This window comes from Homo sapiens, chromosome 1, assembly GCF_000001405.40.
Source record: "Homo sapiens chromosome 1, GRCh38.p14 Primary Assembly".
In the NCBI taxonomy this organism is placed as follows: domain Eukaryota; kingdom Metazoa; phylum Chordata; class Mammalia; order Primates; family Hominidae; genus Homo; species Homo sapiens.
In genome coordinates this window covers 92,928,612-92,952,147 of record NC_000001.11, presented here as the reverse complement: position 1 = coordinate 92,952,147, position 23,536 = coordinate 92,928,612, and the positions used below count along the sequence as shown (strand labels likewise).

The window sequence follows — 23,536 nt, the reverse complement described above, 5'->3', positions numbered from 1 at the left end:
ACCCGTTAGATATCAGTAGCATTCCCCCAGTAGTGACTATCAGATATGTCTCCAGACATTTGTGTGTGTTTTTTTTTTTTTTAAAGAGTGGCCATTCTCATGGGTGTGAGTTGGTATTTCATTGTAGTTTTAATTTCATTTTCCTGATGATAAGTTGTCCTCTGGGGGGCAAAATCATCTACAGTTTAGAATGCCTGATACAGAGAAGGAGAGGGTGGGGGGCGGGGGAGTATTTATGTATATTTAGGAAGAGTGAAAAGGCAAATAAATTAGAACAATGTTAGCAGTTGATAAATATAGGTAGGTATAGGGTATAAGAGTATTCATTGTATTAGTCTTTTAAATTTTCTGTAGGTTTAAACATTTTCAAAATTAGTTTGGGGAAAGTAAATTAGACTGGATTTTATAGTAATTGAGTATGACTGGAAATGTATGAACTCTGTTCAAAGTTACATCTCTTAATAGAAAAATGAGATTTGACAGAGCATATTTGAAGTCAGTGATTAAATAAAGAGTATTAGTTTTCCAGTGCTCCTGTAACGAATTACCACAAATTTAGTGGCTTAAAACAACGCCCATTTGTTTGTACCCTGATCTCAGAGTTTTGTTAACTTAGAAGTCAGGGCACAGTGTGACTCAGCTGTTTCTCTGCTCCAAGTTTCACAAGGTTGAAATCAGTGTCACCAGGGCTGAGTTTCTTTCTAGAGTTTTGGGAATGATTCGGCTTCCAGATTCTTTCCAGTTGTCAGAATTCAGTTACATGTGGTTGCAGGACTGAGTCTCCATTTCCTTGCTGGCTGCTGGCTGAGGATTGTTCTCAGCCTCTAGAGGCCACCTGCATTTCATGGTTCATGGTTCATGGTTCATGTTTCCCTTTCTCCAACTTCAAAGCCAGCAACTATGGGTGGAGTCCTTTGTTTCACATCTCTCTGCCTCCCTCTTCTGCCTCATCTTACTAACTCCTCTGCCTTCCTCTTCTGCTTTTAAGAGCTCGTATGATTGCGTTGGATCCACTCAGATAATCCAGGATAATCTCTATTTTAAAGTCATCTGAGTAGTAACCTTAGTTCCACTTGCAAAGTCCCTCCTTCACAGCAGTACTTGGATTAGTATTTGAAATAACCAGAGGGTGGAAATGTTGGTGGATATCTATAGAATTCTGCCTCCACAGGAAGATATAATTGAATTCTAATAGTAAAAAAAAGTAATTATTTCTTAAAATACTTTGTTTCTTTCCTATTAGTATTAGGTTTAACGGTGGTACCAAAGCAAGAGATTTTTATAAGAGAGCTATGATTATATTAATCCTTCTGGCAATAACTATGAAAGGAGTCTTGGATGTTTATTAAAGGAAGGAAAATGAAAATAGCTGCTAACAATTACATTTGGAAATACTTGTTTTTACCATAAACACTATTCTTTTTTGTTTGTTTGTTTGAGACAGGCTCTCCCTCTGTTTCCTAGACTGGAGTGCAGTGGCACAATCATAGCTCACTGCAGCGTCGTCCCAGGCTCAAGCAAGCTATCCTCCCGCCTCCCAAATAACTTTTGAATGCATCATCTCATCTTCATTCTTCTGCTGTTACTGTAATTCACATCTCCTTTTGTCTAATTAGGCCCATTGTAATAGCCCAGTCTAACCCTTTCAGATCTATCCTCCACATTGCTTCCAAAGTAATTTGTTCAGGTCTCCCTTCCTGCTGGTGAAATCCTTCAGTGGCTTCCCATTGCCTTTAGGAGTCTATGCAGAGTTCTGAGCACCGCTCTTCATTTCTTGCCCCTTCCTATATTGTCGTTCCATTCCTGCCACTACCACCTTGTGCACCATTTGCTCTATCAATCCTGAAAAACTTCCAGTTTCCAGACAACATGCTCTCTCTCATGTGTCAACGTGTCCACCCCACCTTTCCTCTTTGCCTTAGAATGTCCTTTCCCCATTTGCTCTCCATACCCATTCATCTGGTTTATTGTCTTTTTTTTACTTGTCCTTTAAGTCTCAACTCAAAGAGGAAGTGACCTTTCAGCAGTCCCTCCTTAATACTCCACAGTATTAGTGTACCTCTTCTGTGACCCAAACTGCGAGTGCATGATACCTGGCATGCTCTTCTCTTAAGCACTTAGAAGACTGAAATGTTGTCAGTGGTTTCCATATCCTTCTTCCATCCCAGACTGTGATCTCTTTGAGAGCTAAAATGTCAGTTTTCTCTGTCTTTTGTGGCTAGGGCAGAGCAGATGAGGAAAAAATATTTGTTGAATGAAATGAATCAGCATACATAATTGTAAAGATACAGAGTTTTATAGAACTGATTAGATAAACTAATTCCTTATCTGAAAGAATGTGTACACAGCAAGTCAAATAGTATAGATGAGCTTATGATACAAACTATGTTTCTCCTTCCACTTCATCCTGCCCCTAGCTTTATTCCCTAAAGGTAGCCTCTCTTTAACCATTTATATTTTTGGATTTCCTGGTTACTATGCCTCTTACTTCTATAGCTATATCTCTAAAGAAAACTGTACACATCCTGGGAGGTTCATAAGATTCTTAATTTGAGTACTGAAAGAAATTATTGCTGGGCACAGTGGCTCATGCTTGTAATCCTAGCACTTTGGGAGGCCGAGGTGGGTAGATCACCTGAGGTCAGAAGTTCGAGACCAACCTGGCCAACATGGTAAAACCCCGTCTCTACTAAAAATACAAAAAAATTAGCTAGGTGTGGTGGTGGGTGCCTGTAATCTCAGCTACTCAGAAGGCTGAGGCAGGAGAATTGCTTGAACCCGGGAGGTGGAGGTTGCAGTGAGCTGAGATTGCGCCATTGCACTCCAGCCTGGGCAACAAGAGCGAAACTCTGTCTCAAAAAAAAAGAATTATTTGAAATTTTATTTATTGTATACATTTTGGAAAGTATATTAACTTTATTAAGTTTTTTAAGTTCCCCAAATACTTCCTGAAGGAAGGTGAAGTTCTAATTTTGGGGGTGGGAGTGGGAGGGTAGAGAAGTGGGTAAGAAGAATGTCAAATCGTTGGTTCTTTATTTGTATGCTGCTTTAAAAAAATGAAGTTAACTAATCCCAGTACTTTGAGAGGCTGAAGTGGGTGGATCACCTGAGGTCAGGAGTTCGAGACCAGCCAGGCCAATATGGTGAAACCCCATCTCTACTAAAAATACAAAAAATTAGCCGGGTATGGTGGTGGTCATCTGTAATCCCAGCTACTTGTGAGGCTGAGGCAGGAGAATCGCTTGAACCCGGGAGGTGGAGGCTGCAGTGAGCCAAGATCGCACCATTGCACTCCAGCCTGGGCAACAAGAGTGAAACTCCACCTCAGGGGGGAAAAATATATATATATACACACACATATATATATATACACACACACACATATATATACATATATATGTATATATACATATATATTAAATATAAAAAATATATGTGTATATACATATGTGTATATATACATATACATGTATATATACACATATGTATATATACGTATATATATTAAATACAAAAAAATATAAAATAAATATATATATATGAATATGAAGTTAACTACCTTTTAGCTGGGTGTGGTGGCTCATGCCTGTAATCCCAGCACTTTGGGAGGCTGAGGCAAGAGGATCACTTGAGCTCAAGAGTTCGAGACCAGCCTGGGCAACATAATGAGAACCCGTCTCTATTTTTTAAAGAAAAAAGTTAATTACCTTTTTAAAAAAGTTTTTAAAAATTATTTTTAGTTGACACATAATTGTACATATTTATGGGGTACAATGTGATATTTCAATACATGTTCCATTCCTGCCACCACCACCTCATGTACCATTTGCTCTAGCAATCCTGAAAAACTTCCAGTTTTCCAGACAACATGCTGTCTCATGTGTCAACATGTCTACCCTACCTTTCCTCTTTGCCTTGGAATGTCCCTCCCACTTTCTGTCAGCTACACTTTTACTTTTATACTGCCAAAGTTGATAACATTTATATTTTTTCCTATTGTACAACCAAGTCTCCATGTAAGTATAATGATCAAATCAGGATAATTAGCACGTCTATCCCCTTAAACTTTTATCATTTCTTTAAACTGGGAACATACAAAATCCTCTCCTAGCTATTTGAAAATATGCAATAAATTATTGTTAACTAGAGTCACTCTACAGTGCTGTAGAATACTAGAACTTATTCCTCCTATCTAGCTGCACTTTTGTGTCGGTTAACCAATCTTTAGCTATTCCTCTGTCCCCCGTACCTTTTCCTACCTCTGGTAACCACCATTCTACTATCTATTTCTATGAGATCAACTGTTTTAGTTTCCACATATGAGTGAAAACATGTGGTATTTATCTTGCTGCGCCTGGCTTGTTTCACTTAACATACTGTCCTGCAGGCTCATCCATATTGCCGTGAAAGACAAGATTTCATTGTTTTCTGTGGCTGAATAGTATTCCATTACTTTGATTGATTCCCTATCTTGGCTATTGTGAATCATGCTGCAGTAAACATGGAAGTACAGCTGTCTCTCCATACTGATTTCCTTTCCTTTGGATAAATACCCAGTAGTGGGATTGCTGCATTATATGGTAATTCTGTTTGTAGTTTTTTTGAAGAACCTCCATAATCTTTCCCATAATGGCTGTACTAATTTATATTCCCACCAACTGTGTATAAGAGTTCCCTTTTCTCTGCATCTTTGCCAGTATTTGTTATTTTTTGTCTTTTTGGTAATAGCCATTCTAACTGGGGTGAGATGATAGCTCATTGTAGTTTTGATTTGCATTTCCCTGATGATTTTCTTATCCTTGTTTTGACCATTTGTATGTCTTCTTTTGAGAAATGTCTGTTCAGATCATTTGCCCAGCTTATATACTTTTAAAAAATATCTTAAAATGTTTATTTTTGTATAAGAATAACTGATGATTTTCTGTATTTTGATGTATTATTATAAGTATTTCCCCGCCTTGAAAAATGCATTCAAAATTATTCTTACATACTTAAAACTTTTATTTTTGTGTAAGTTACTATATACATATAATAGATGAGTATAGTCGTAGTTTTACATAGAATAGAAATAACTAAATATAATTATATCAGGGATTTGTGCTTATTACTATTTTCCTGAAAGGATTGCATTATCAAAAAAATTTGGAGATCACTGCTCTACATAATAGACTTTTATGTCTGTGTGGTTTTTTTTTTTTTTTTTTGAGACAGGGTCTCACTCTGTCACCCAGGCTGGAGTACAGTGGCACAGTCTCAGCTCACTGCCGCTTCAACATCGCAGGCTCGGGAGATCCTCCCACCTCAGCCTCCCAAGTAGTTGGGACCATAGACAAGTGCCACCAGGCTTGGCCAATTTTTGTATTTTTTTATAGAGGCAGGGTTTCACCATGTTGCCCAGGCTGATCTCAAACTCCTGGGCTCAAGCAATCTGCCTGCCTCAGCCCCCAAAGTACTGGGACTACAGGCATGAGCCATCGGGCCCAGCCTACCTCTGTTTCTTGATTTATCAAGTTTAGTTAATATTTGCTAACTTGGTGTTAAAAAATGAATATTTAGTTTTCTCACATCATTATCCCTCTCCATTGTTTGATAGTTGTAATTTTAATTTAACTTATTCTGTTGCTTAACTTGGTAACCTCAGAAATAACAACTGTTTCTTATTTTATCCGCTTTTGACAGTCTTTCTTGACTCTCCCCTTTTTTAGAAGGGACATGAGAACATGTGCTCCTTTTTCTACCTGTTTTTTCCTCTCTTCTACTTCCCACTTTCTGTCAGCTACTTTTAATTTTACACTGCCAAAGTTGATAACATTTATATTTTTTCCTTTTATACAACCAAGTCTCCATATAAGTTGAATTTTGAATATGAGAACTATAAATAATATTATATTATTATGACTTGTTAATTCTTCCATAAAGGAAAATCTCCCTTATAAACCTGAAACCCATTGTCTGCAGCTTATAGTTATTTTCCTTTTATTATAGGAAGCACGTAGAATTAACAGACCTCAACAATTGCCCCTTGTTATTTAGCACATTACTACAAGGATTTGTCCCTTCCCAGAAGCTAGACCATATTTCTGCCAATAGGGAAAAGAACATGTGATGTTTGTAAATTCCCTATTAAAAAGTCCCTTGTATTTAGAAATCATGCTTGTTTGCTTTTTGACGTTTCTATTAAAAAATAATAATTAAAACCTAGCCTTTGGGATCCCTAATGAAGTAACAGAATTATGATTTGAAATCACTGTCCATCGGCCACAGTTTCTCCCCTGAACAGTCAATATGCAGTATTTGTCTTTTGCAATAATTACCTGGTTACACTTAGCTGCAGAAAGTGGACATTTCTTCTGTCATCCGCTCCCCAAATCCAAGTGAACTGAGCTTCTTCTGGAGTTCTGGACCATTCAAATAATGAAAATGACTCTCACCTTCAGGGAGTTAATTGCAGGAAGGAACTAGGTATCATTTGATTCTGTGTTTATAGAAAATAGAAAAGGAGTGAGATACTTTTGGCCACTCTTTCTCTTAGGATCCTGAAGTTTATGTCTTGAGACCAAATACATCAAAGTTAGTTCTTGCCTAAGATGAAAGACATTTCTAATTTTAGTACCCCCTAAAATATGATTCTATAAATATTATTTAGTGCAGAGCCAACTCTATGTTAGGACTACTTTTTCTTCTTGCTGGGGCCAGGGTAATGACCCTGGGCTCTCAAAACTTCAACATTAATAGTAACTGGATCCTCTTTTCTCACACTCTATCAGTTCCTTGTAATCAGGGTACATACAAGCTTGTTTCCTGTTTGAAATGTAGCTTTTTAATGCTATTTGTCTTTTTTCCTTCCTTTTTAAAAATTTTTGCAGGGAGTTTCTAATTGCCTTCTTTTTCTGGCACCATCTTCCTTTATCATAGCCTTATTTTTTCTGTACTCTCACTTATATTTCATATTCTGTGGTGAAATCCTTCTTTTTTTTCTTCTTACCAGAAACCTCCCTCCTCCATGCTTGCGTTCCCATGGTGACCGGATGCTTTTCTAGGCCTACTACACAACTGGCTTCCTAGGATTTCCCTCTCTTCTTCTCATTGGTTGGTGTCACTGTTCTCAGGACCCTAAGTCTTTCCTTGTCCTAATCTGTGCCATCTTCTTCTTTGGCAAGGATGTGTGGGAAGTAAACTTTTCGAGTGCTTTCATGTCTAAAACTGTCTTTGGCCAGGCACAGTGGCTCACCCCTGTGATCCCAGCACTTTAGGAGCGCAAAGCAGGAGGATCACTTGAGCCCAGGAGTTTCAGCCAGCCTGTGGGGTTTTGCCATGTTGCCCAGGCTGGTCTCAAATTCCTGGGTTCAAGTGATCCTAATACAAAAATTAGCTGTGCTCCCAGCTACTTGGGAGGCTAAGGTGGAAGAATCCCGTGAACCCAGGAGGTGGAAGCTGCAGTGAGCCAAGATCGCACCACTGCACTCCAGCCTGGGTGACAGAGTGAGACCTTGTCTCAGAAAAACAAAACAAAACAAAAACTGCCTTTATTGTACCCTGGTACTTGTTCGTAGTTGGGCTCAGTGTAGAATTCTGGGCCAAAAATAATCTTCTCAGAAAATTTGCAGATGCAGCTGCTTTGACTTCTGATATCCCCTGTTGCTGACAAGAAGCTAGTTTGATTATCAATCCTTTGTGGGTGACCTGTTTTTCCTGTTCAGGATCTCTGTTTTATATTTTTATTTTGAAGTTTCCAGAGAAAATGTATAAATAGGGTTCTTTTATCAGTTGTATGGGTACTCACTGAGCCCTTTGAATCTTAAGACTTGGATCCTTTCTCAGCTCTGGGAAATTATATTATTTGTTGAATAGTTTCTCCCTTCTTTTTCCTCTGTTTCTTCCTTCTAGAGCTCTTCCTAGTCAAATGGTGGAGCTATTGGATTGGTTCTTTATGTCTTTTCTAGCTTCTCTATTATTTTTATCTTTTATTCATGTACTTTCATTGTTGAGTTTCTCAATTTTATTTTCCAGATCGTTTGTTGATTTTCTTTCCTTTTCTAACCACTTTTTAAACTCTAAGGATCTTATATTTAATTTAAAAGTTATTTGTTTCTTTTTATGGTTTCCTATTCATAGTTTATGTGGATGCACCATCCTCTTCAGTATTTTGATTATAACAATTTTATTTTTTAATGTTTTCTTATGCTCTGTAATTGTCTTCATTCCTTTCAGAGATTTTATTTTCTATATGTTTATCTTAGCTCTTCTTTTTCATGCTGCTGGACTTTCTCATGTGCTTGGTGATTGTTGGTTGTCTGTTCATATTTTAGAAAGAAGGACTAGGTAACTGGTGTGGCTTTCCTCTGCTGTTTTAAAAGTTAGTCTGTTTTCCCATTAGACCTATCACCGGAATGGATGCCTGACTGAGCCCTGTATGTAGGATGGGATGCCTTGGCTGGCCTGTTTGCTCTAGGTTGAGCCTATGCTGGGCTCTGGGGTCCCTCGTGCCAGCGGAGTACTTTACTCTTGTTGGACTATACATACCCACACTAGAAGCCTTGGCTTTCTGCAGTTTGTTCTTTCAGCTATCTGGTTTTTCGAGTAAGGGTTAATGCTAGGCTGCCTATGATCTCTGTGGGGTGGGGGAGGTGGTTGGGGGTGCCAACCAGTGCAGTTCCAGGTACAGATCTTCAATTATTCCCACCGTCTTCAACCTCACTTCTCACTCCTGCCCTCCCTTGTACCTGTTGGCTCGGAGCCCAGAGCCATCAGGTGTTCCAACTGACAGATTGGCTCTCTAGATTCCCTCTAGCATTCCAAGAAGCAGTTTGGCTTCCAGCTCCTTTTAGGTTGCCTGGTAGAGTATTCTGGGCTGTGGCTTTCTCTGCCTGCCTCATCCATCAACACAATTCCATTTGCTTTTTGAAACTAGAAATGTGTTGGATCTTTTATCCGCTGGTGAATTTCCTACTTTTCTTTCTTTCTTTGTTTCTTTCAGCTGTTAGAGATTTATTGCTTCTTTTGCCTTCCTTATTTGAGTGTGGTTTTGCAAGCTGTAAGTAGCAAACATGTATCTTTAGTCTACCATCTTAAACTGAAAGTCCTGATGTGAATTTTAAACTGCAGCATCTGTTTTCTAATATTTACCTACCCTATTTATCTTCATGACTGCAGTGTCTATTTAAGCATTACATAATTAACAAATTAGCTGGGCGCAGTGGCCCAGGCCTGTATTCCCAACACTTTGGGAGGCCGAGGCGGGCGAATCATGAGGTCAGGAGTTCGAGACCAGCCTGACCAACATGGTGAAACCCCGTCTCTACTAAAAATACAAAAAATTAGCTGGGCGTGGTGGCGGGCGCCTGTAATCCCAGCTACTCGGGAGTCTGAGGCAGGAGAATCACTTGAACTCAGGAAGGAGGCAGAGGTTGCAGTCAGCCAAGATCGCGCCACTGCACTCCAGCCTGGGTGACAGTGCTAGACTCTGTCTCAAAAATAAATAAAAATAAAAAACCTAATTAACAAAGTATTTCAATAAAATAAGGTGAGATAATTAGAGTAAATAACTTGAGAGGAATAAAAATAAGATGGAACTTTTTTCCCCAGAAAATCTTGTATACAGTTCATTTTGATAAAAAAGAAAAAGAAAAAAAAACTGCTAAAAGATTAGCGTCTTAAATTAGAATCAATTTTGTGGTTGAGTTCAATGGGTTTTAAGTAAACAATATCCTTTCCACTTTACTCATAATGCTGTTCATACTTGGTTTTGATAATGCTTTTGTCCTATAAAAGATCTTTATATTAATGTAATGAATTGCTTAAACATTTCACCAGCTTTTAAATAGCAATTTGGTAAAATAGAAAGACTCATGAGATAATTTATTCCCCCAGGACAGAGAAGGGATAAACAAGCCTTTTCAGTCTGTGATAGCAGAATGGTTTGGTGAATTTAAAAGCCTTAATTATTATGCTTTAAGCAACAACTTAATTTGCTTCTGTCTGATTCTTAGTTTTTGAGTTCTTCCTTTCATAAACTGTATCATGTTGCTATTTTGCTGCTCATCATTTTGCTGTTTCTCTTTTCCTCATCAAAAAGTATTTACTGCTCATGTCCATATATTCCCTGTGCTGGCGGTGTTGCTGTGGGCTGTAGATGCACACTGGCTTTTTTTTTTTTTTGAGACAGAGTCTCCCTCTGTCACCCAGGCTGGAGTGCAATGGTGTGATCTCAGCTCACTGCAACCTCCGCCTCCTGGGTTCAAGCAATTCTCTTGCCTCAGCCTCCTGAGTAGCTGGGATTACAAGCACGCGCCACCACTCTTGGCTTTTATCTGTACATTTGAGTGCACTTTTCGAGTATAGAGTGTGGATAGTTAAGGGAATCAATTTCTAGATTTTTGAATTCCCGATGTAGTTTTTCCTAACATTGCTCTGCCAGAGAATGTGTTTGGAATGGAGGTGTGTGCTCTGCTTTCCCACCTTCACTTGCGTCGTTATCCTTTCTCACTTTTAGAAAGGAAAGGCACACTGCTAATCCATTTTAGATATTACAAAGGTCCATTGCCCTGGATGTAAAAACTACCAGGACACCAAACAAAGGGCAATTGAAAATTTGGTGTCTGTGTTAAGATAGTGAATGTCGAGAAATACTGTCTCAGGGAATGACTAGATAACAGTTTTTTGCAATATTAGTTTCCAATATTTTGCTGTCAACAGAACTGAAAGAAGGCCTGATAGAGTTGTCTGCTAAGTAACTAATAGATCAGTAAGTATATTTTTGATGGTAGGTTACTGTTATTTTTGTCACATAACTCAAAAGATTTCCAAGAATTGAGAGATAATTGCTACAACAAGACTTCCATTTTTATCTTTTCATTTATGTGAAAAAAGTTTCTCACCACTTAAAGTTATAAAAACAAAAAATAGGGATAATTCTGTTTTTTAATAGCTGAGTCCTATTTCATTCTGGCAAGAAATAATAGTTACTGCACGTTCTTAGATGACACCAAAAGCATGGTTCATAAAGGAAAAATTGATAAATTTGATCTTATCAAAATTAAAATCTTTTTCTCTGCTAAAGACCCTGTTAAAAAGATGAAAAGACAAGCTACAGACTGGGAGAAAATATTTGCAAATCACATATCTCACAAAGGACTAGTATCTGGAATATACAAAGAACTCTCAAAACTCAGTTTTAAAAAATAGTCCAGTTAGAAAGTGGGAAAAAGACACGCATAGACATTTTACCAAAGCTATATAGATGGCAAGTAAACACAGATGAAGACATTCAAGCTTATTAACCATTAGGGAATTGCACATTAAAACCGTGATGAGATATCATCAGAATGACTAAAATTAAAAATAGTGAAAACACCAAATGCTGGCAAGGACGCAGAGCAACTGGATGATTCATACATTGATGTAAAATGATACAGCCATGGAAAGCAGTTTGCAACTATTTAAACTTATGGTGAAAAATTGTAGATGTCAACTTAAAAATATGCAAGGGGGTATATAGTTTTCAAATTATTTGTGGGATCCACAAACAAAAATGCTAGAGTTTAAAACCATAATACCTCCATTGCTGAAAGGGCTACATTCCAAAAGAATGCCTTTTAAGAAATCAGAATCTTAAATATCAGAGGTAGTTGAAATATTAAGGAACTTGGCATTTGTCTGTTAAGGGGTAGAATTGTAGTACCAAAAGTCCCTTAATTAAATGATAATCACATAAAATATGGCACTAGTAAGAGTAAGAAAAAGAAGTGTTGTACTATGTTAAGATGATGTTATTGGCTTTAAATGCCTATTTTTAAATCAAGGTCAAGGGATGTGCTCGGACAGATGTGTTCAATAGCCATGTTCTAAACAGGCAAGAGAGAAAAAGGAAAGGCAAGTCAGGGGAGAGTTGTGTTTTTAGCAGTCTGTGTTGGGTAGGGCAGAGTGATGTCGGACACTCATCTCTACTCCCAGAAATCACCCTGAAAGGACTACATCAGGTTTACCTTTAGGTAATGCATGATTTCAGATTTCCTATTTCTAGCTCCCCATGTATGGAAAATCTCTATATATGCTTGATGATGCTGTCCCAGTCTTCTTAAATGGGGGATTAAGCCTTCCATTTCACCATTAGCCAGCTTAATATACAGGTACTTAAAGGATTAGTTATAGTATAAATGAATTTCAGTCATTTGATAAATATAGTTGTTTTTTTTTTGAGACAGGGTCTCACTCTGTCGCCTAGGCTGGAGTGCAGTGGCGTGATCTCAACTCACGGCAACCTCTTCCTCCCGGGTTCAAGTGATTCTCCTGCCTCAGCCTCCTCAGTAGCTGGGATTACAGGCATGGGCCACCACTGGCTAATTTTTGTGTTTTTTGTTAGAAACAGGGTTTCACTATGTTGGCCAGGCTGGTCTTAAATTCCTGACCTCAAGTGATCTTCCTGCCTTGGCCTCCCAAAGTGCTGGGATTACAAGCATGAGCTACTGCTTCCAGCCCTGATAAATGTAAATTTTCTATGATCATTTTTTAGTTGACAGAGAAGAATGTGGGAGGAAAGGGGTATCATTGGGTGGAAGGGGGCATATGGGAAGGTGGGGAAGCAGAGGGTTAAGCTTTGAAGTCTACAAATAGAAGCAGAAGTGAGGTATTTTAGTCTTGCTAATGTATTACTTCACATGATTTAGGAATGTTTTGGTTAATTTTTAAAAATACTGCTGACTGCTCTATTAAGAAATTTGTATCCCTGAAGATTAATTAACCTAAAATATATCCTATTAAATTAGACTAATGCAAAAATGGCCTATAGCTAGATCTACCCAGTGAATGTAAAAGTCATTCGGTTATGTAGACTTCCCTCCCCAAAGGTGATAGAAATTCAGTGTACAAAATGATAGTATTTGGTTATAAATGTCTTATGTAGCAAGTATTTTTATTGAAGTAATTTTGAATTTAAAGAAAAATGGAAGGCCAGGCGTGGTGACTCACACCTGTAATCCCAGCACTTTGAGAGGCCGAGGTGGGCAGATCACCTGAGGTCAGGAGTTCGAGACCAGTCTGTCCAACATGGTGAAGCCCCGTCTCTGCTAAAAATACGAAAAATTAGCCAGGCGTGGTGGCGGGCGCCTGTAATCCCAGCTACTTGTGAGGCTGAGGCAGGAGAATCACTTAAATCCGAGATGCAGAGGTTGCAGTGAGCCGAGATCACACCACTGCCTCCAGCCTGGGTGACAGAGCAGGACTCCGTCTAAAAAATAAATGATAAAAGTAGAAAGAATTCTGACATTATCCAACTTTAAGGTGAATAATATGCTTTAGCATGAGATTTCAAGTATATGATTTGACTTGTGTCAAGCTCCTTTGTCCTTCTGACCCTTATTTTTTTCATTTACCAGTGAGGTGATGATTGATAGGACAGTTTTTTCTTACCTCCCTAATAACAATTCTGGGAGAATTAATTCATTATTGAAAGAGGAATTCTTTAGCCTGCTCATAAAATGATATATCCAAAAATTATACATTTTTGAATGACTTTCCAAAAATACATTATGGCTTTCTATGTTGGACTCTTGCTATTTTTAGAATTTTTTGAAGTCAAATTAGTGAAATGGCTAGTTTCTCCTTTCAGATTAATTGTCTGTCTTTGGTATATGTTTATGAGTTGCCTTAGAGGAATCAACTTTTTTTTTTTTTTTTTTTTTAGTAAAGGTCTCGCTCTGTTGCCCAGGCTGGAGTGCAGTGGTGTGATCACAGCTCATTGCAGCTTTGACCTCCCTGGGCTTAGGTGATCCTCCCACCTCAGCCTCACCTCAGCCTCCAGACTAGCTGGGACTACAAGTATGCACCACCATGGCTGGCTAATTCTCCTGGCTCAGCCTCCCAAGTAGCTGGGATTACAGGTGTGCACCACCATGCCTGGCTAATTCTTCTGGCTCAGCCTCCTGAGTAGCTGGGACTACAGGTGTGCACCACCATGCCTGGCTAATTCTTCTGGCTCAGCCTCCTGAGTAGCTGGGACTACAGGTGTGCACCACCATGCCTGGCTAATTTTTGTATGTATTGTAGAGACAAGGTTTCACCACGTTGCCCAGGCTGCAGTTACATTTTTACTTGAAAATCGTTCATTTCTAATGCCTTTTTAATTTTTTAAATCAGAAAAGAACAAATTTGTTCTGCCAGACTATTATTAGGTTCCTAATTCTGTGAAGCTGTGACCTGGGGTAAAGGTTAATCTGTAGTTAGCTTAAAACCAGTTTCATTACTAGCCTTTACAGTATACTTTGGTATTTATCCAAGATCGGGGTGCTGGCTTTTTATGTGAAAGGCCAGAACCTTAAGTAGCAAGAAAAAGTAGTCCTTAACTTTTCATTAAAGTATAACATGAATATTGAAATGTACATTTATGCTCAAGGAACACCATTTTACCAGCATGCTAGATCTGCAGTCAGTTAGGAATTGATTTTTGTATATGGTATAATTACAGTTAAAGATACATGTATTTTTTCCAATTAGATATTCAAATGACCTGGTACTGAGATTTTTTAAAAAGCAGCATTGTCCAAAAAAGCAACTTTGGCAATAGTTGGTTCATTCACCACTAGAATGAATTCCAATCCTAGCCCAAAAGGAGGCTGAAAGATGTGTCAGAGCCTCTTTTTCTTTCCGGATCACCATTTAGTCTGTAAAAAATAAAGCATGTGGGGATTTCTGTTGTGATCCCCACAAATTGAAAGTCACATCTGCAAAAGTTAGATAGAAGTATATCATGCAGTATCTGTGAAGTAATACTTGCAAGGTATTTATGATAGGTTAGTCACCAGTTAATGTGCTAGGAAGAAGTCACCATGCCCGGCTATTTTTTTTTAATATTTTTTAGTAGAGACAGGGCTTCATGTTGGCCAGGCTGGTCTCAAACTCCTGACCTCAGGTAATCTGCCCGCTTCAGCCTCCCAAAGTGCTGGGATTACAGATATGAGCCACCATGCCCAGCCTTGGATTAGCTCTTTATGATTCCTTAATCCTTTTTTCTAGTACCTTACAAATTAATTTTTCTGTTTTACATCTGTTAAGAGACAAAGGACTTAAGTGCAATTAAATTGGACATAAAACTGGTAAGAATTTATTACATAGTAAAACTCATGATCCTATTCAATTGTAAACTCTTGGTAGCTAGTGGGTACAGGGACTATGTTTATGCTTTTTGGATTTCCATAGAGTGAATGAACAGTGAATTGCATGTAAGGGTATCTATATCTTTGTGAATTCACAGTTGTCTCAAGTAGTAGAAAAGCAAAAGTAAAAGTTGTTTTTACAGTTGATTTACAGTTTTCACCAAAGATCTAAATGACCTGTGTATTAAACAGGATCAAACTTCATCATCCAGGACCATGTATAACAGCACTCAATAAAGCAATAGATAAAGGGTCTTGATGTCTGATAGTGCTGCGTGGTACTTGCTATGGAGGGTCTGGCAGAACTGGACTAAAACAGCTTCTCTGAGCTTCTTTCTTTCTTCTTTTTCTTTTCTTTTTTTTTTTTTTGAGACGGAGTTTCGCTCTTGTTGCCCAGGCTGGAGTGCAGTGGTGTGATCTCGGCCCATCGCAACCTCAGCGTCCCGGGTTCAAGCAATTCTTCTGCCTCAGCCTCCTGAGTACCTGGGATTATAGGCATGCACCACCATGCCTGGCTAATTTTTGTATTTTTAGTAGAGTTGGGGGTTTCTCCATGTTGGTCAGGCTGGTCTCAAACTCCCGACCTCGGGTGATCTGCCTGCCTCGGCCTCCCAAAGTGTTGGGATTACAGGCGTGAGCCACCATGCCCAGTTTCTCTGAGCTTCTTTTATGTTCTTCTGTTTTCCCTTCAGAAAAACTATACTTAGGTTTTCAAAGCTGCCTATTTAGTTAAATGAATGCAGAAAGATGTGATCCAGATTTCCATAACTTCAACTCTGTACTGCATTTTTCTGACATTGTTTTTCTTGCTGACTCTATGCAGAGCCAAATCTACAGCTTTTTTATAGTAGAGATGATGTTTCCTGTGAGGTTTTTTTGTTGTTCTTATTGTTGTTCTTTTGTTTTTCTTTTTGAGATGAAGTCTCTCTCTGTCGCCCAGGCTGGAATGCAGTGGCGTGATCATAGCTCATTGCAGCCTTGAACTCTTGGGCCCAGGTGATCGATCATCCCACCTCAGACACCTGAGTAGCTGTTCCAGCCACCAGAGTAGATGTTCCAGCCTGGCTAATTTTTATCTTCCTATTTTTTGTAGAGACAGGGTCTCGCTTTGTTACCCAGGCTGGTCGTGAACTCCTGATCCTCCCGCCTCAGCCTTCCAAAGTGCTGGGATTACAGACATGAGCCACCATGCCCAGCCATTTCCTGTGTTTTAATGTCTTTAGTTAGTTAGTTATAGAATAGTGAGGGATTTTTTTTTTTTGCTCAGTTACTTGAACACGTTATAATATAATAAGGATAACATAAAGATCTTATCCTTGAGTTGTCTGGAACTGTATTTTAAATGATAAAACTAATTTCAGTGACCCTGATTGACCCTGTTGATTTTATAGATAAGGACGAAACATGTTCAGGTCACGCAGCTAGTCAGTAGCAGGGATAGCACTTAAATCCTGGTCTTGTGACCTTGATTCCAGTACCCCTCTCTGCTTTTAAATATATTGAGCCGTAATTTTTAAAGAATCTCCCCAAGTTTAAAGATTCAGAATTTATTAATTGTGTTTTAATAGTTTTAAAACCATTTCTAATCTCATTTTATTTTGGTGACTCTGGGACTTAAAATACATAGTTCTTTAAAAAACTGTTATATTAATATATAGTATCTCACAAAATAAAAGTATATTGCAATTTCTAGCAAAACACTGAACGGGAATGTCAAGTTATGAAATGACTTAGATTAAAAGAGTTTAAGATGTGAGCAACACGTTCTTTTTAGTATTATTTAGACAGTAGTGTTGCTCAATAGAGAGGTGGAAATATTGAACTGGGAATCTCAAGACCTGTGTTTTGTCCTGTCACCAACTAGCTGTATGATTCTGAGCAAATGACCCACCTTCGCTGGGCTTCAGTTTGCTTGTCTGATACATAAAGGAATAGAGCTAGAATTAGAACTATCTCTTCAGTAAATAACTCTCACTGTTGCTGAATGTGAGAAGTCAGGCAGAGCACATTTGTTGTCAGAAGTCTTTGGACATGAAAATGATCTGTGCCTAATATTCTTCATCTTGACGCTAGTAAGTAACCACAGGCCCGCCAGCCAGCCAGCAATCAATCTCCATCTGTAGAACTTCCATTGTTGTCCATGTATAGCAGTCTGGAGAAGGGCCAGGTTTTATTTTTGCCAGGAACTCTCTTGGCAAATCTGTATCCCTAGGGATGTCTGTTTAATTTTGTGGTGCAGAGCACAGTTTAGTGAAAAAGAAGAGGAATGCTGAGCTATTTGATTCTGAATGCTTTCAGAGATAGATCATTTTCATTTGTTTCCATAGTATCTATGTTTCAAGATGTTTTGAGGGAGAAGGTGAGCCAAAATAAGATGAAAAGAGGAAGGTGAGAAACCTTCCAGTATATGCTGACTCAGGAAATACATTTGAACTATGCAAGTATGTGTGTTTCCACAAATAGAAAACTTCTGATATACATATCCAGATTTGTCATTTTAGCTTTTCTCATGCATAACTTTTTGATTTTAAACTAGTCTCCTAGATTTAAACTGTTAAGAAAAAAAAACTTTTATGGAAAATTGGCATATTCTACTAGATATTTCAAAACTGTCCCATTATCTTGCCTTCTGGAAATAAATATAAAAGTATTTGAATTTGAATAAATTCTCCACTTTTTAAATTCATTTATAAAGATCTCAGTTTACATCTAGATTTAACATTCATTTGTTCAAGAAAATTTATTTTGTGACCAAAAGTTGTATGCTGAAAATTAAATACCTGAATTTCTTAAACCATAGAAATAGATCAAGTTGAGGTTGCATTTAGTTAAAATGCCAGTGTGTGTTACCACTGACCTTCATTTTTTATTATCTAAAGTTTTTCAGTCTTTCATACCTTTAACATCTTTTTCTTCTAACTTTCATATCCATTTGTTGACAAATCCTAAGAAGTTTACTTTCATAATGTCTCTCAAATTTCACCCTTTATCTTCACTGCTGTTGGCCTATCCTAATCCAGAAGGGCCTAGATTGCTGCAACAACTTCCTAACTAGTCTCCCTTTCCTCAGTATTACCTTTAAAAGTCTTAAGCTAACATCCAGATTAATCTTCTTTAAACATCAGACTGTATATCTGTTTAGAAATCTTAAAACTTCTTCATTTAAGTCTCAATACTGTCAAGCATTTAAAGCCCTTTATGTGTGGTCCTTTCTTTTCCATCCAACTGAATTAATTCAGCAAATAGTGTTGCAAGCAGCGATATGTGAGGCACTGTGCAAAGATAAAGATAAATCAAATCTAGCTTCTTGCAGATATAGGTCAGCATTAATGTCAACACATCCGGGATTTTTTTTTCCTTTTAGAAACTTGTTCTACTTCATTCCATTCCACTTAAATTATTCTTGCCCAAGATATCAGTGATGTCCTCATTGTTAGATTGGGCAGTTTTCTTTTCCTTTTTTTAAGAAACAGGGTCTTGCTATATTGCCCAGGCTGGTCTCAAACTCCTGGCCTCAAGCAGTCTTCCTGCCTTGGCCTCCCAAAGTGTTGAGATTATAGATGGGAACCACCCCACTGGGCAGTTTTCAATATGAATTTTACTTTACTTTGTTATGGCATTATATACTATTGACCATGCCTGCCTCCCTGATACTTCTTCCTTCTGTAGTTTTTAGGTATAGAAACTATTCACCTTTTCAGTTTCTTCTTAGAACTTTTCAAAGGAACAAAGTTTTAGTTCTGTTGATTTTTATTTTAAGTTATGTTCTGTTTCATTAGTTTCTATCTTTATTATTTCTTTCCTTCTACTTCTTGGGTTTTGGGGGTTTTTGTTTGTTTTTCTGTTCCTTTTCTTCTTCTTGAGATGTATGTTTAGCTCTTTCATATTTTAAAAAATATACTTTAATTTTTAGAGCAATTTAAAATTTGCGGCAAAATTAAGCAGAGCATTGTCATATACCCCTCTGCCCCACACATGTACAGCCTCCTCCACTATCAACATCCCTCACCAGAGTGGTACATATGTTACAATTGACAAACCTACACTGACACATCATTATCTCCTGAAGCCCTTAGTTTACATTAGGGTTTACTCTTGATGTACATTCTTTGGGTTTTGACAAGTGTATAATGGCATGTGTTCACCATTATGTTATCAATCAGAGTAGTTTCACTGCCCTAAAAATCCTCGGTGCTCCACCTGTTCATCCCTCCAACCCTTAGCAACCACAGATGTTTTTACCATTGTCTTTTCTAGAATATTATGTAGTTGGAATTCCACAGTATGTATGTAGCCTTTTCAGATTGGCTTCTTTCACTTAGGAATACACATTTAATCAGGTAGGGTATGTCTGACAAATAATTTTCTAAAATCTTAAAATGACTACAAAAGGAATACACATTTAAGATTTCTCTACATCTTTTCATGGCTTGATGGTTCATTTCTTTCTCTTTTTTACATTTTATACTTTAATAAAATGATAAACACTGTTACAGGTAAAAGACAGTTCAGTACATTTAGTTGGATAAGATTTTTAAAATTTTTAATTTTTTTTTTTGAGACAGAGTCTCGCTGTGTTGCCCAGGCTGGAGTGCAGTGGCGTGATCTCAGCTCACTGCAACCTCTGCCTCGCAGGTTTAAGTGATTATCCTACCTCAGCCTCCCGAGTAGCTAGGACTACAGGCATGTGCCACCACACCTGGCTAATTTTTGTATGTTTGGTAGAGATGGGGTTTCACCACGTTGGTCAGACTGGTCTCGAACTCCTGACCTCAAGTTATCTGCCCGCCTCGGCCTCCCAAAGTGCTGGGATTACAGGCATGAGCCACTGTGCCCAGCCTAGTTGGATAATATTTAAAAATTTACATATTTGCGAGCTCGTAGATTCTTTACCACCCTGGTATATTTTAATCTATGTAGTCAGAGTCTTCTGGAATTCCGAAAGTTTTATCAATTTTATTTTCTTCAAACCCAAATTTTCTTTTGGCCCAAGATTTTATTGCAAATATGTTATCAGTCTATCTGTTAGCAAGTACTTTATTTGCCTGATGTATTTCTTCAACAACTTGCGGGTCACATTATTTGCATTTTTCAACTTCTGCCTTTGATCCAAGAGTGAAGAATGCTCTTTGGCTAACACGGTTCACTCCTTCATCTCATGTTGGCCAATTTTAGTTTTTCTGATGCTTTTCTGTAAGTTTGCATGCTTTTGGCTTCCCTGAAACAACTGAGATTTCAGAACCTCCAATTTATACGTTCTTGCATGAAGAATTTTACTTGGAAAAGACTGATAATAATTAGAAGTTCCAGTTCTCTCACAGTCAACCATATCATTATCAACTAAACTTTGAAGGACTTTTTTCTTTTACTAACACAGCAGTAATGCCTTTCTCTTTGGGAGCAGTCCTCTCCATGTCTTTTTTTTTTTTTTTTTCAAGAGATGGCATCTCGCTATGTTGGCCAGATTGATCTTGAACTCCTGGCCTCAAGCAGTCCTCCTGCATCAACCTCCCAAAGTGCTACTATTGCAAGCATGAGCCACCGCACCTGGCCTTCTCCATGTCTTTTAATTGAAATACATCTTTTGTTTTAAAAAATGTTTCCATCATGCAGGCTCTCTTTTCTTCTGCACTCAGTCCTTTTTTCTTTGATACGGTGTGGGCACCAGGCCTTCCAATGATGGGGTCTGCACATGGGGTGAGGGGCCAGCTCATTTCTTTTTATTGCTAAATAATTGTCCATTGTCTGATGTACCGCAGTTTATGTATCATCCACCTACTGAAGGACATCTTGGTTACTTCCAGGTTTTGCCAATTATATGAGAACTTTGTACTTTCTGTTCAGTTTTTCTGTAAACCAAAAAAAAATGCTCTAAATAATAAATCTATTAATTTAAAAAAATAAGAAAAAAGAATCTGTCTCTCCATTCATTCAACAAACATTTGTCAAATATCTAATATGTGCCAAGCAAAGAATGAAGTACTAGAAGTAATCAATTACATAAGACATATTTCTTTCAAGGAGTGTAGTCTAGTGGGAAAAGTAAGTCAACAATTGGAGTGATATTTGTATTTCAGAAGTGTGTATAGAGTGTTACAGGACCCCAGGAAGGGACCATCTTAGTCTTAGTTGGTATAGGGGAGGGAGAGACAGAAAAGGCTTTTAAGAAGCCATGTTTATTGGAGACTTTTAGAATGAGTATCAGTTGACTAGATCAAAATTTGTGTGTGAGGGCATGGGCACCTTGAGATAATATTCTGTATAGAGTAAACAGTATCAGAAAAGGCATAGAAAGAAGAAACAGCATGGCATGAACAGAGAACTACAAAAAGTTCTTTCCTTCGCAAAAGAAAAGATTGCGTTTGGGGGTATTCAGGTCATGAAACTAAGAGGGTAAATAATACCTTGAAGGGCCCTCTGTGTTAAATGAATTAGAATTGGTTCTATATCCTGAAGGCTAAGGAGAGTTACTGATGGTGGATTTAGTTAATATGAGAAGATTCCTCTTTTTGTCTTCTGCAAATACATAGAAATGCTGGATAAAATATAAGCTCCCTTTCTCAGTTTTTTTTTATTACTACCTAATTAAGTTTGAAAGCAAGCAAAGGAAATCTCCAGATACCAGAAATGACAAGAAAACTCAAACTCAGATATGAAAGAGAGCTAAAGCCAAAATGGCCAATGGGGAGTGGGAACCATAGTTTTAAGGGCTATATGAGGTGAGGAGAAAAGACTTTAGGCTTCTGAGAGTCAGAGAATTGCAATTGACCTGTGTGTTTAAAATTGGGAGCCACAAAAGGCCATGCTTTTGAGGAAGAGTATTCAACAGCATCACTCCCCTGGCTTACAAAAGCAACAAGGACCTGTAAGTGGGGTTGTAGGCCTTCAGGGAGTCAGAAACAAGGAATAAGGCTAGAGGGAGAAGATGACCAGTGACCCAAGCCTAAGCCAGTCAGCTCATAGCATTCTACTGGCCACAGTGCTTGGTTCAAGGGTGGTTATGTTTTCTAAAAATTTATTTAGTTGGAGTGAAGCCCAGGACCACGTTTGTTGGCTTAACTCTTTCTTCCTTCTCTGGTTTTGAAGATGGAAGCATGTAGCTCTGAAAGCTGCTGGTTCCATCTTGTGACAACTTGGAAAGTCAGCCAGGATGAAGATGAACCTCTGGAAGGTGGATGAAGAATCAAAAAAATTCACCCAGTGTGAGACACTGAATCAAAACAACATTGATTATTTCAGCTGCTGGTGATGACATAATAGATTACTCACACTAACCTCCCACAGACAAAGATTATTGAAATGTAGATTTAACAATTACATATATGTATTTATATATTGTAAACAGCTATTTAAAGGCACTGGAAAGGAAGTGAAAGAAAAGATTAAACTCAATCTGAAAGGAAGGAACTTGCCCCTGAAGGTACTCCCCAGTCTGTGCCTGGCTCCAGAGGCAGAAATCTTAGATAACAGGGCTCAGGACTAGTAGAACAGCCAGAAACTTTGGCAAAAAATCGTGGAAGGGGAGGAGATGCAGAAAGATTAGTGCCCAAACCTGCATTTAACATCCACCCAATTCCTTCATATGTGTGGGGAGGCCCAGGAAATGCAATGAAAAAGCAGCACGTGGAAGCTAAAAGAATGGAGAAGAGCTTTCAGCAGATGCTGATGGCAGGAGAGACAGAATTTGGAAATTGAGTCTCACCGAATTAACTGCCTGCTAGAACAAAGATCCATCTTCAGAGGAATGTTACAGAATCTAGAGTCATGACAACATATTATGCATAATGTGTAATAACCAATCCAAAAATCACTACACATGTGAAGAAACAGGAAAATGTTACCACGTTCAAGAGAAAGTAGTCAATAACAAAATATCTTCAAGATGACCAAGTGTTCATATTCGAAGTCAAAGATGTTAAAGCAGTCATTATAAATATGCTTGAGGACTATGAAAGAAAATATGTATAGTAATTGAACAAGTAGGAAACCTCAAACAGAGAAAGAGAAATTTTTTCTTTTTTTCTTTTTTTTTTCTTTGAGATGGAGTCTCACTCTGTTGCCCAGGCTGGAGTTCAGTGGTGCGGTTTTGGCTCACTGCAACCTCTGCCTCCCAGGTTCGAGCAATTCTCCTGCCTCAGCCTCCTGAGTAGCTGGGATTACAAGCATGCACCACCACGCCCAGCTGATTTTTGTATTTTTAGTAGAGTCGGGGTTTTGCCATGTTGGCCAGGCTGGTCTCAAACCCCTGAGCTCAAGCGATCTGCCCACCTTGGCCTTACAAAGTGCTGGGATTACAGGCATGTGCCACCATACCCAGCCTCTAGAATTTCATATCCAGAAAAACTAGTCTTCAGGAATGAAGATTAACTGAAGACATTTTTCAGATA

The 23,536-nt window shown here is 38.3% G+C and overlaps 1 protein-coding gene and 1 pseudogene across 4 annotated transcripts in view, besides 3 other annotated features; one reads left to right on the top strand and one right to left on the bottom strand.

Annotated features, from left to right (window-relative positions):
- Window positions 1-23,536, top strand: part of DIPK1A (divergent protein kinase domain 1A) — a 128,734-nt gene that overhangs the window by 9,315 nt on the left and 95,883 nt on the right. The gene's annotated exons all lie outside the window — the stretch shown is intronic.
- Window positions 726-815: an enhancer, noted in NCBI's record as "active region_1322". NCBI's record gives its function as "activates an Ori minimal core promoter by ATAC-STARR-seq in GM12878 lymphoblastoid cells {active_cell/tissue: GM12878}" and the evidence as "EXISTENCE:reporter gene assay evidence [ECO:0000049][PMID:35858748]".
- Window positions 1,942-2,236: a silencer, noted in NCBI's record as "tiled region #12717; K562 Repressive DNase matched - State 7:EnhWF". NCBI's record gives its function as "represses a minimal TATA promoter and a strong SV40 promoter by Sharpr-MPRA in K562 cells {active_cell/tissue: K562}" and the evidence as "EXISTENCE:reporter gene assay evidence [ECO:0000049][PMID:27701403]".
- Window positions 2,221-2,280: an enhancer, noted in NCBI's record as "active region_1321". NCBI's record gives its function as "activates an Ori minimal core promoter by ATAC-STARR-seq in GM12878 lymphoblastoid cells {active_cell/tissue: GM12878}" and the evidence as "EXISTENCE:reporter gene assay evidence [ECO:0000049][PMID:35858748]".
- Window positions 19,962-20,570, bottom strand: MND1P1 (MND1 pseudogene 1; annotated as a pseudogene).